The sequence below is a fragment of the Homo sapiens genome, chromosome 1 (genome assembly GCF_000001405.40).
Source record: "Homo sapiens chromosome 1, GRCh38.p14 Primary Assembly".
Taxonomy (NCBI): domain Eukaryota; kingdom Metazoa; phylum Chordata; class Mammalia; order Primates; family Hominidae; genus Homo; species Homo sapiens.
The window spans coordinates 113083483-113096920 of NC_000001.11; the positions used below are offsets into that span (position 1 = coordinate 113083483).

At 38.8% G+C, this 13438-nt stretch overlaps 1 protein-coding gene across 5 annotated transcripts in view; it reads left to right on the top strand.

The window, feature by feature from the left end:
- LRIG2 (leucine rich repeats and immunoglobulin like domains 2) overlaps positions 1-13438 on the top strand; it is a 59063-nt gene that overhangs the window by 10285 nt on the left and 35340 nt on the right. For 3 of the 5 annotated variants that reach the window (NM_014813.3, XM_005271369.3, XM_024451227.2), the window contains exons 2-8: positions 7836-7901; positions 9724-9798; positions 9948-10082; positions 10857-11000; positions 11130-11273; positions 12392-12535; positions 12740-12883. In NM_014813.3, coding sequence (NP_055628.1) covers positions 7836-7901; positions 9724-9798; positions 9948-10082; positions 10857-11000; positions 11130-11273; positions 12392-12535; positions 12740-12883 — 852 coding nt within the window. Of the gene's footprint in view, positions 1-559; positions 5842-7835; positions 7902-8546; positions 8659-9723; positions 9799-9947; positions 10083-10856; positions 11001-11129; positions 11274-12391; positions 12536-12739; positions 12884-13438 lie in introns of those variants that run through there. The other 2 variants (NM_001312686.2, XM_047435521.1) reach the window with 2 other exon arrangements.

The window sequence follows — 13438 nt, forward strand, 5'->3', positions numbered from 1 at the left end:
TTACAGGCACGTGCCACCACACCCGGCTAATTTTTGTATTTTTAGTAGGGACGGGGTTTCTCCATGTTGGCCAGGCTGGTCTCGAACTCCAGACCTCAGGTGATCCACCTGCCCTGGCTATCCAAAGTGCTGGGATTACAGACGTGAGCCACTGTGCCCGGCCAGCTGCACACTTTTAAGCCACCAGATCTCATGTGAACTCAGAACATCCTCTGCCCATCAGGCTTTGGGTTATTAGATGGATTTCTGGACTGGTAACGTTCTCAGCCCCACCTGTACCTTAGACTGTTGCTTGGAGAGCTTTTACAAAATACCATTGTTGAGAACACTTGGACACAGGGTGGGGAACATCACATGCCAGGGCCTGTTGTGGGGTGGGGGGAGGGGGGAGGGATGGCATTAGGAGATATACCTAATGTAAATGATGAGTTAATGGATGCAGCACACCAATGTGGCACATCTATACATATGTAACAAACCTGCACGTTGTGCACATGTACCCTAGAACTTAAAGTATAATAATAATAATAATAATAATAATAATAATAATAATAATAATATTGGCCTTATCCCAGTGATTCTCTGATTTGTTTGGTCTGGGGTGGGACTTAACTATCAATATTAATCTTCCCTAGTGAGGCTAATGTGCAGCCGTGATGGAGAACCACTGAACCATAAGCAATTTTTGCTTATTGAATGTTAGTTGAGGAAATCTGTGCTTTACTTAATTCTTTTTTTTTTTTTTTTTTCTGAGACAGAGTCTTGTTCTGTCACCCAGGCTAGAGTGCAGTGGCGCAATCTCGGCTCACTGCAACCTCTGCCTCCCGGGTTCACGCCATTCTCCTGCCTCAGCCTCCCGAGTAGCTGGGACTACAGGCACCCGCCACCATGCCCGGCTGATTTTTTATATTTTTAGTAGAGACGGGGTTTCACCGTGTTAGCCAAGATGGTCTCGATCTCCTGACCTTGTGATCCGCCCGCCTCGGCCTCCCAAAGTACTGGGATTACAGGCATGAGCCACCGCGCCCGGCATACTTAATTCTTTAAAATTATTTTCTGCTTTGAAGGACCTGTTTATTTTTGTAGAGATTAACGTCCTAATTATGTTTCATTATATTAAAAATGTTTTGCATTTTCCAATTAAAACAAAATCAGCACATGAGTAATCAAAGGATTACTTGTATATTAAGATAATCACTTGGTTTCCTAATGCTAGAAAATACATTTCCTTCATCTTAGATGGATGACATTTTATATGCTTTATTCTTTAAAGGTCTTTCAATCCTGATGGAAAACTGGCATTTAACCAGTTGAGAAAAGATCACATCATATTAAGTAAAGGCTTAGCAAAATGTTTTTTAGAAATACTCTGAAAGCATTCTTATATTTCCTATGCTAGAGAAAATGACTCAACACATTTATTCTGTATTATTTCAGTCATGAAAAATGTTACAATATTCAGTTGGTGCAAATAAAAAATAAAAGCAATTTAAGTAATTACACTCTATCCAAATTATTGATTTCATGTTTGGCGGAAAAACCTGGAGAATGGAATAGTTAATTGAACTTTACTTTGTTGTAAACCAGTTTTTTAAGGTATTTGTATTCTCTATCTCTTCTCCTTTTGCCTTCCTCAGCCTTTCCCAAAAAAGACTGTAATTACGTTATTTGTAACAAATAACTGGCAGAATAATTGCCAGAATAACTAGTGGGTGATTAGCAGTTTTAAAGTTAAACCATTAACAGAGGAACAGTAGTGAAGTGTGGTGTAAATCAACTTGTAACTAAATTCTTGTTTTTTTGTTTGTTTGTTTTTTTGAGACAGAGTTTCATTCTTGTTGCCCAGGCTGGAGTGCAATGGTGGGATCTCTGCTCACCGCAACCTCCGCCTCCCGGGTTCAAGTGATTCTCCTGCTTCGGCCTCCCAAGTACCTGGGATTAACAGGCATGCGCCACCATGCCTGGCTAATTTTGTATTTTTAGTAGAGACGGGGTTTCTCCATGTTGGTCAGGCTGGTCCCGCACTTCTGACCTCAGGTGATCCGCCCGCCTTGGCTTCCCAAAGTGCTGGGATTACAGGCGTGAACCACTGTGCGCGGTCTATCCTGAAGATCTTTACCTAATGTTTATCCAATATAGCTAGCCATTTCTAGTTCAACCACAAAGCAAAAATGCTTCCAGGAAGCATTTATTCACAGAAAAGACTCAGATCTCATTTACTCCTAATTCAGATAGTTCTAACAGGAGGTGGGGTCTCCTAGCCTATGGCAATTGATTAGAAACAAATTTTGTAAAAAGTTAAGTAGCCTGTTACAGAAAGGAAGACTGAAAGTTCCAAGAAGTGAGAGCTTTTAGTGTAAAGCTGTTAGTTGTAGAGGGAAAGCCAACTTACAAGAGCAGACAATTTTCAGAGTTGTTTTAGAATTCTTGTGTTTAGTTCAGTTTACGCCAAGAATATTCAAGATCATAAGCACGTTAAATCACAATATGGTAATTGATTATAATGGTAACCCTGAGGTTTTTTTTTTTTTTTTTTTTTTTTTGAGATAGTTTCACTCTTGTTGCTCAGGCTGGTGTGCAGTGGCACCATCTTGGCTCATGGCAACTTCCGCCTCCTGTTCAAGCGATTCTCCTATCTCAGCCTCTGAGTAGCTGGGATTACAGCCACACGCCACCACACCTGGCTAATTTTTTATATTTTTAGTAGAAATGGGGTTTCACCATGTTGGCAAGGCTGGTCTTGAACTCCTGACCTCAGGTGATCCACACGCCTCGGTCTCCCAAAGTGCTGTGATTACAGGCATGAGCCACTGTGCCCGGCCGAGTATTATTTTTAAAACTAAATTATGCTAGGTACACTCTTAACAAGGCAAGGATTTCCATTCACAAAAGGAAGCGTAAATTATGCAGGCTAAATGAAGCACTGTCATACCCAAAATATTAGATACAATATTTTCTTATGATTTAACTTTTACAAAGGGCCTCTTTGTCAGAAGTTGCTGAAGTTCCCGGTTCAGCCTATTATTGCTGCATATTCTTGAAAACAAAATTGTTGATGATTCAGATGTATGTGTGACTGTGCGAAGAAAACCCCTCCATTTCTGTTGCTGTAGGACTTTGTTGCAATTAGCTTGCTGAACTTGATTTTCTCTTTGAACTGTTGTGATTGCTTTGTACATCCTATAAATAATTTACCCCTGATGGTACTAAACGACTACATTAATGGCACCTCTGGCTCCACATGATATCAAGGACATTAATAATTCATCATTTATTACAGCTACATCCTTGTAGATTAGCATGAGTGGGAACTGAGTTTACAACATTGAGATCAGGCCCTCTGAGAGACCTTTACTCCTCTGTCATCATATCTATAAATATTCAGATATTAGTGGTGTTAGAAAATAAAGGAAGGACTGTTACAGAGCTAGACTTTAGGTTTAAGTTTATTAAGCATTAGGTTTACAGCCTGGGCAACATAGGGAGACCCCATTTCTACAAAACAGAATAAATTAGCTGGGCTTGGTGGCATTTGCCTGTGGTCCCAGCTGTAAGGAGACTGAGGTAGGAGCATTGCTTGAGCCTGGGAGGTGAAGGCTGTAGTGAGGTGTGATGTCACCACTGCATTTCAGCCTAGGCAACAGAGCTTTAGATTACTTCAAGTTCTTAAGTACATTTTAGGGATATTTGAAAGAGAGTTCTCCATTTCAGGACTCCTGCTTTTTAAAAAAAAATTATGCAAACCACCTGGAATTAATGGACATTGGGAAGAACAGTGAGAGACTTCAATTTTTAAAATCATCCAAATCCATATTCCAAGAGTTTTAAATCTGATATTTGAAGTCTTCATTTATTTGTTTATTTTTAATTTTTTAATTTTTTGGGGGATGGAGTCTAGCTCAGTCATCCAGGCTGGAGTGCAGTGGCACGATCGCAGCTCACTGCAACCTCCACCTCCTGGGTTCAAGCGATTCTCCTGCCTCAGCCTCCCGAGTACCTGGGATTACAGGTGCTTGCCACCATGCCTGGCTAATTTTTGTATTTTTTGTAGAGACGGGGTTTCACCATGCTGGCCAGGCTTGTCTCGAACTCCTGACCTCAGGCGATCCACCCACCTCGGCCTCCCAAAGTGCTGGGATTACAGGTGTGAGCCACTGCGCCTGGCCCCGAAGTCTTCATATTTTAGTCTTCTGTCTTTTGGGAGGTACTTTTAAAAAAAGAAATAGGAAAGGCATGCTTACGGGGAACACGAGTATGCCTGTGCACTCCTGTGTGCACGTGTCATTTGATCAAATTCCAGAGTGAAATTAGGCGTAAAAGCTAATTTACCCATTTGCAGTAAAGGAGAATAGTAGAGTTGATGTTGAATTTTCTTACAGTTTTGGAGTGACTGCACCTCTGAGAATTGTTAAGTGTTGCTTTTGGAAAAAGAAAAAGGTTACTAAAGTTGACAGTGCTTACAACCCTAGCGCTTAGTCCACTGCCTGGCACATGGTCCAATAAGTGTTTATTGTATGCATGACTGATCAGATCAATCCATGTAATTCTAGTTAGACACTTGATAACTTAAAACAGTTGTACTGATGCTGATGTATATTAGTTGCTTTCTATGATAGTACTGCTTTGGGAATATATTTCAGTTCACCTTTAGTGTTTTTTAATCTTAATAAATGTGGGTTTGTTTTAGAGGGTCCAGAGAGCCTCATTATATGGGGCTCTGACCTATAATGGCTGTTTGAAAGCATATATCCTTTCAACAACATTTTCCGGTACAGAGGCTGCAAAGCATTTCAGGTATCCTTTGGGTTGCATTGAAAAGCCTATAGGTTCTTCAAAGATAGGAGAAAATTACTCTTTCCCAAAACAGAGGACACTGGACAGTTTTCACTAATACCAAATACTAAGTTATTTATAACGTATAAATTGAGTTTCATTTTATTGCTTTAGATTTCTTTAATAATTATTTTCTTTAAAAATGATTATGTGGGTCAATGATTATTGACAATCATAGGAGAACTCTAGGGGATGAATACAGTCAAGAGTTACATTGCCAGGAAGATTTAGGGTTGGGAAAGGCATTATGAACACTGTTAGGATTAAAATGAAAGCCCTTAATCTGGAAGGGGAAAACTGCTAAGTTATAGTAGTCACCAGATACAAAATTAGATCATATTATGCTAGCCTGCTACACAGATGATATTAGCTCTTCATTTGCCAGACTAACCAGCTTGGAGTAGAATATAGAATATCTAACTTAAATTAAAACAGTTGAATTTCTCCTTGAGTCAAAACACCACAAAACAACAACAAAAAACATCTTTTCACTTATATTTTTATACGAGTGTATGTGTTTATTGTTTAGTAGCAAGAGTGAATTGGATGAAGTATCTGAATATGAGATTTTTATGTGTAGTGAATTCATATTTTTATCTTTTATATTTTCTGACACCCTCCTCCATTCATGAGTGTCCTTGAGCTGATACCTTGTGCCAGACATCTTGGAATATTTTAGAACTGTTGTGGAAAAGTGATGGTTTAACACACAGCTTTAGTTATGTCATGGTGTAAATTAAGCTCTTAAATGAAAGTGGCTAGCTTTTACTGATAGGCCGGCATGAATCTAGCTGAGAACAAATTGTTCTAATGTGATAGAGACATTATTCAAACCTGCATGCATCTGTCAACTGCCTATGGTGGCATAGTGAGATAAAGTGATCTGTAATGTTTCTGTAATGTGTCCCTGTTGCTAGCCATATTGTAACATACAGCACATCTTTTAGGCAGACAGCTTGTGTGGGCTGCATTCCACCTCAGCCTTGTAAAGATGCCAGAAGCATCAAGGTGAATTTTTAAAGCCTATTTAACTATTTAGACTTGACTAATTTCAGTGAAATCTCTACTGTATCTAATAAAGTATTTGCTAGAAGTGAGATGAAATTTCAAATTTATAACTTTTATTAGTTGTGTGACCTTAGATTGGCCAATCAGTGATCTTTCTATGCCTGTTTCCATATTAGGAAAGTATTTTAAAAGTATTTGCCTCATAAGATTGTTGTGTGGATTTAGCCAGTTAATATGTGTCAGGTGCATAGAAGAATGCCTGTCTGCCTTTATAAATGCTGGCCACCAATGCCGTCATTATTATTAACATAATTTGGGGTGAGATTAATTTCCTCTTACTGAAGGTGGATTGCTTTTTTTTTTTTTTTTTTTTTTGGAGACAGAGTCTTGCTTTGTCACCGAGGCTGGAGTGCAGTGGTGCAATCTTGGCTCACTACAACCTCACTACAACCTCCGCCTCAAGGGTTCAAGTGATTCTCCTGCCTCAGCCTCCCGAGTAGCTGGGATTACAGGTGCGTGCCACCATGCCTGGCTAATTTTTTTTGTATTTTTAGTAGAGATGGATTTCACTATGTTGGCCAGGCTGGTCTTGAACTCCTGACCCCGGGTGATCCACCCGCCTTGGCCTCCCAAAGTGCTGGGATTACAGGCGTGAGCCACTATGCCTGGCCTTTTTTTTTTTTAAAGGAAGACCACATCCCTATCAAGGATGTGGTCAACTTCAATTTTAATTTAGAAGCTCACCATTTTGACTTGTGAAATATGTCTTCAGATGTATTTACAGTTAAGGCATAATACATAATCACTACAGGGAATAAAGAAACTCTTTAAATACTGCAATGGAATGACCTAAGATGTATTATTGAGTGAAAAAAGCAAGGGGCAAAATGTGTAAATTGTTGTGTCATTTCTGTAAAAATTTGCTGTACATGCATAAAATATCCAGAAGTCTGCACAATAAATGGCATATTTTCATTTGTTGTTACTGGGAAGGGGAATTGGGTGGCTGGAAACAAAAGTGGGAGACTTTTTACACTTTTTGATAATTGGACCATGTGAATATATTCCCAAACTCAGAAGCTACACACACATATATAAATACACACACGTAAAGTAAAATAGCTATTTTGAAATTCAGATACATTTTTATTCATCCTTTATAAACATTCTTGTCTATACTACTCAAATTGACATTTAAGAGGACTTTTTTTTTTTATTAAAAAAATTTTTTTGGCTGGGTGTGGTGTCTCACGCCTGTATACCCAGCATTTTGAGAGGCTGAGATGGGCAGATCACGAGGTCAGGAGATCGAGACCATCCTGGCTAACATGGTGAAACCCCGTCTCTACTAAAAATACAAAAAAATTAGCCGGGCGTGGTGGCGGGCGCCTGTAGTCCCAGCTACTAGGGAGGCTGAGGCAGGAGAATGGCGTGAACCCGGGAGGCGGAGCTTGCAGTGAGCCGAGATTGCGCCACTGTACTCCAGCCTGGGCGACAGAGCGAGACTCCGTCTCAAAAAGAAAACAAAAAAATTTTTTTTTTTTTTGAGACAGAATCTTGCTCTGTCACCTACGCTGGAGTACAGTGACGTGAACTTGGCTCACTGCAACCTCTGCCTCCCGGGTTCAAGTAATTCTCCTGCCTCAGCCTCCTGAGTAGCTGGGATTACAGGCGTGTGCCACCACACCTGGATGATATTTGTATTTTTAGTAGAGATGGGGTTTCACCAGGTGATTCTTGAACTCCTGACCTCAGGTGATCTGCCACACCTGGCAAATATTTGTATTTTTAGTAGAGATGGTGTTTGCCAGGTGAGTCTTGAACTTCTGACCTCAGGTGATCTGCCTGCCTCAGCCTCCCCAAGTGCCAGGATTACAGGCATGAGCCACTGTACCTGGCCAAGAGGACTTTTTGTATTTCTATTTAGTTTCTTTTTTTTTCTTTAGGTCTACTTTCCAGGACTAAACTAAGAATGATATTTTGTCCTCTTTCAGGGATTTCAGTCATAATCGGTTGTCTAACTGGAACATCAGCTTGGAATCACAAACATTACAGGAAGTGTAAGTTATTTTTATTTATTTAAAGTTATGTTAAATTCCTGAGGGAACTTAATAAATTGTGATTTGTGGGATGTTTAATCCAGAGATGCCATAAAAAAATTGAAGGAAAAAATTAGTTAAAAGAAATTATTTGAAAACCTAAAATGTTTTCTTTGGCTTTGTTATTATCAGACTGTCTTGGCATTGGGTTGGTGATTTCAAGTTGCAGGCTGTGGGGGAAATATTCTACCTTCCTGGGGCTAAAAGTAAGATTTACGCCTCTTCAGAGTAAATGTGTTTTGATTTTGGCCAAGTTTTCAGCCAGTGAAACTCTGTTGTATAACCTTTTTAAATGTCTTGACATGTTATCTAAGATTGGGAGCATCATGTCTAAAGTAGATTTATATGAAATAGAGTATTCTTGATATCATATGAGAATGTAATGATTGATAGAATTAAGTTTTTCTCTTAACTAAAGTTTTTCCTTTAATACTGAGATGTATTATGTAATTTTGGAGGGAGTTTTCTAAGATATTATTAATATTAGTTTTTGCATTGTTACATTCCTAGAGGCACAACCGTTAAGGTATATAGGCCTATTTGCCTCTACAATTAACACCATCAGAACCCTGAGATTTACTTTCCTTTTTAATTCTTTGCTAACAGGGATAACTTCTTCATGCTCATTGTCTCTGCATTCTCTCCTCCTGGCCCCAGATTCACTGCTTCTAATACGTTGTGGATGAGTACACAGTTGACAAGTTTGTTAGCTGAAAGAGTAGGCACTGAGGAAAGGCCTGAAAATGCTTCAGTGGGAAGTGCATGAGCTTTATTGCATGGACTTTGTAACTTTGGTTGGTTTCCTGAAGGTCTTTACTTCTGGTTTCTTTTCTGTGTTCTAGATTGTTGAGGTTGTTCAGTGACTAAAAACCAGGTTAATGAAATGTGATTGTATTAGATTTGCTACTAAAACATTTGAGACAAACTGTTTAAAGGGCTGCTGGGATCAGATGCAACATGTTATGTTATCTGTAAAATTAGTCATAGGTTCCATCTCTGGGTGGGCTGATAAATTTCATCTGTGGTCTCAAGTAACACTCTCTAACATTTGTATAGCTTTAGAAAAAATATATATACATTTGTGTGTTGTGTGTTTATATATATTTAGAGAAAGAGAGATCTGGATGGACTGATTATGCCTTCTTTAAGGACTCAAATTAGCTGCCATAAACCCAACTTATTCAAAGAACTTTGCTTGAACTAACAATATTTAATGTGCAAAATACTTCATAACCTTTCTGATATTAATATCAATAGTAGATCAACACTATGAAAATACATTTCTTGGCCAGGCATGGTGGCTTACGCCGGTAATCCCAGTACTTTGGGAGGCCAAGGTGGGCAGATCACCTGAGGTCAGGAGTTTGAGATCAGCTTGGCCAACATGGTGAAACCTGTCTCTACTAAAAATACAAAATTAGCCGGGCGTGGTGGTGCATGCCTGTAATCCCAGATACTCAGGAGACTGAGGTAGGAGAATCACTTGAACCCAGGAGGCAGAGGTTGCAGTGAGCCAAGATTGCACCATTGCACTCCAGCCTGGGCAAAAAGAATGAAACTCTGTTTCAAAAAAAAAAGAAAAAAAAAAGAAAGAAAATACATTTCTCATTAAAACCTCTAATTTCTCAATAAATACATTTTTATTTTCGTCTAACTCATTCTGAGTCATATTCTTTTTCAAATTTGGCACCTATTCTAAAGAATATGTGTTAGCCAGAAGGTAGAATCCAAGAGGTAATATTTCCCTCACTAAACATTTAAATCTGTTTTTCCTCTTGCCTAGGAAAATGAATTACAATGAACTAACAGAAATCCCGTATTTTGGAGAACCTACATCTAATATTACTCTACTTTCATTGTAAGTTAGTAAGTTTTCAGGTTTTTTACTTAAATTATGAAAAGTATACATTTTTTTTTTAAAGCACATATATTGTTGATTCTAATTAACATTTTTGTGGCCTGGGGTGGATCAGTGGCAGCAGCTTCATTATAATCTTTGTTTTACAGAGTCCATAATATAATCCCAGAAATAAATGCACAGGCACTCCAGTTTTACCCTGCTCTGGAGAGTTTAGACCTCAGCTCAAATATAATATCAGAAATCAAGACATCTTCATTTCCTCGCATGCAGCTTAAATACCTGTAAGTAACACAGATTAAATTAGATTTACTTTAAAGCACATGTTTATGGGGACTGTTGTGGGGTGGGGGGAGGGGGCAGGGATAGCACTGGGAGATATACCTAATGCTAGATGACGAGTTAGTGGGTGCAGCGCACCAGCATGGCACATGTATACATATGTAACTAACCTGCACATTGTGCACATGTACCCTAAAACTTAAAGTATAATAATAATAAATAAATAAAAATAAAATAAAATAAAGCACATGTTTATTATTCATCAGTACCTATCCAAAAATATTTGGTTATTTATTGTGCTTTTTATATGCATATGTGAGACAAACCTAGAGTTGGTGTGTTGGGTGGTTGGCTTTGCCACTCACCCCACAAGCCCCCTAAAGAAAGATCGCACTATTGTCAGAAAATATTGGTAGATATCAAGGGTAATTTTGAGATTCAATTTTGTTTGTTTTTTTTTGAACCAAGCTTTCTAAAAGGTAAATAGAGATTTGTTAAACAATGGCTTACTGTATATAATGATAATTAGCATGTGTGCCAGTGTTTTCCAGTTTACAAAGCATATTCACACATGCTGTTTTGTAACAACCTAAATGAAGTAGGTAGCTTCTTAATTTTGTAGATGAAGAAACAGAGCAGTTAAATGATTTATAAAGTTGTGGATGGGCATTAAGTGATAGAGCTGGGGGCTTAGACATAGATTTTTGGCAGCTTTCTAGTGGTAGAATTTTTATTTTACTAAATTTTTTCTTTTGCTATTATCTTGTTTATTTTAGGAATTTAAGTAATAACAGAATAACCACCTTGGAGGCTGGTTGCTTCGATAATTTATCAAGTTCCTTATTAGTGGTAAAGTTAAACCGTAACCGAATGAGCATGATTCCACCTAAGATCTTCAAGCTGCCTCACCTCCAATTCTTGTGAGTAACGAAATAGACGGATTATAAGAAGATAGTTTTTTCTTACAGGGTCTTTTTCTTTTTAATTTAATTACTGTTAGAACATTTTAGCAAACCAATTTCCTGACTGTAAAACTATTTTTGTTAAAGGGAACTTAAAAGAAACAGAATTAAAATTGTGGAAGGTCTTACATTCCAAGGGCTTGACTCCTTAAGATCTTTGAAAATGCAGCGGAATGGAATTAGCAAACTTAAGGATGGAGCATTTTTTGGCTTGAATAACATGGAAGAACTGTAAGTACTCGGGACTAGAGGTGATTATTAGGAAAGTAGTCTGTTTGGGACTTTTCAGTGTCGAATGGCTAGGGTAGTTGTTCTGATTATAGAGATACATTCATTCATTCCCTGGTCACTGATGTGAAGTAAGCGTACATAAAACCTTTAAAGTTTTGTTAGCTAACTGATCAATTTTGAAATAATTCTTACAAACTTCTCATCTAAAAAGTTTATATATATATATATATTTTTTTTGAGATGGAGTCTCACTCTGTTGCCCAGGCTGGAGTGCAATGGCGTGATCTCAGCTCCTGCAACCTCTGCCTCCAGGTTCAAGTGACTCTCCTGTCTCAGCCTTCTGAGTAGCTGGGATTACAGGCGTGTGCCACCAGGCCCGGCTGATTTTTGTATTTTTAGTAGAGATGGGGTTTCACCATGTTGGTCAGGCTGATCTCGAACTCCTGACCTCATGATCCACCCACCTTGGCCTCCCAAAGTGCTGTGATTACAGGCATGAGCCACCGTGCCCGGCCAAAAAGTTTATATTCTTAATGTTTTGGCTAATGAAAATTACCAGAATTTATCCAAACAGGTATACTATACCACTTGGCCTGTTGGTTTTGTAGAGCTCCTATTTTAGACAGTCTTACTACCTTCTAGCACTAAATCTCTTTTTTTGTTGTCGTTGTTGAGATAGAGTCTTGCTCTGTTGCCAGGCTGGAGTGCAGTGGCACAGTCTCGGCTCACTGCAACCTCTGCCTCATGGGTTCAAGCGATTCTCCTGCCTCAGCCTCCCGAGTAGCTGGGACTACAGGCGCGCGCCACCGTGCCCAGTTAATTTTTGTATTTTTAGTAGAGATGGGGTTTTACCATGTTGGTCAGGGTGGTCTTGATCTTTTGACCTTGTGATCCGCCCACCTCGGCCTCCCAAAGTGCTGGGATTACAGGCATGAGCCACTGTGCCCGGCCAAGCACTAAATCTTAAATAAGATATTCATTTTTATTGAATAGAATTGGTCAGCTCAGTTGGGTTGAACAAAGGTATATGCTTCTCTGGGAAAAACTTAAGATTTAAAGCTAGTTATTGAACTGCCTTGTTTTGGAACGTATTTTCTTCTCTTTCTCTAATTCTGCAGAGAACTGGAACACAACAACCTTACACGAGTAAACAAGGGGTGGTTGTATGGCTTGCGAATGTTACAGCAGCTCTATGTGAGCCAGAATGCTATTGAAAGAATCAGCCCTGATGCATGGGAGTTCTGCCAAAGACTATCCGAACTGTAAGTGTTGGATAGCATTTCACTGGAGGCAGTTAAGACTAGAGCAGATTGGAATAAATCATTCCCATGGGCAGTAATGAGATGTAACATCCCTCTTTACTAGAAATTTGTAGAAAGCTCTAAATTTACCATGTAGATATAATAAGAATTGTAAGTTGAACCAAATACAATGAATTCCTTACCTTCCACATTTCTTGTTTTCAGTGATTTGTCCTATAACCAGCTGACCCGCCTGGATGAATCTGCCTTTGTGGGTCTGAGCTTATTGGAGAGATTGAATTTAGGAGACAACAGAGTCACTCATATTGCTGATGGTGTATTTAGATTTCTTTCCAATCTTCAGACATTGTAAGTATATCCATTCTCCTTTTTGGTTGTTGTTACTGATTTTTTTAGTACAATAAAGCAAATTAATTAAAACAACTAATCAGTCTGCAAATTCTGTATGCTAACATTTTGTGGTTCTTCTGTCCTATGCCTCAGAGCAAGGCAGTCTTATTTGTCTCCATCCCCATAAAAATCCCAAGCCTGTCGTAGGCAATTCAGTTTGTAGTTTAATTCTGAGTTAATCCCATAAGCATCAAAGCATGTCTTATTGTGTTAGTTGCTGTGGAATAAAACACAGTTGCTAGTGTCAGGAGAGCAGTCATTTTCTTGTTCCTTTGACTTTGACAATACACCAGAGCTACTAGTTCTCATTCGAAAGGATGCAGGTTGTGTAGTGGGAACTGCCGTGGTAGGAGACCAGTTCACTGTTACTGGTTTGCTACATGACTTTGGACAGAAGAAACTAATACTTATTATCTGATATGTGCCAGGTACTTTCAAATACTAGGATGATACTGCTGTTTTCCATATTAGGAGGCTGAGGTTCAGAGAAATTTAAATAATTTTCTCTAAGTC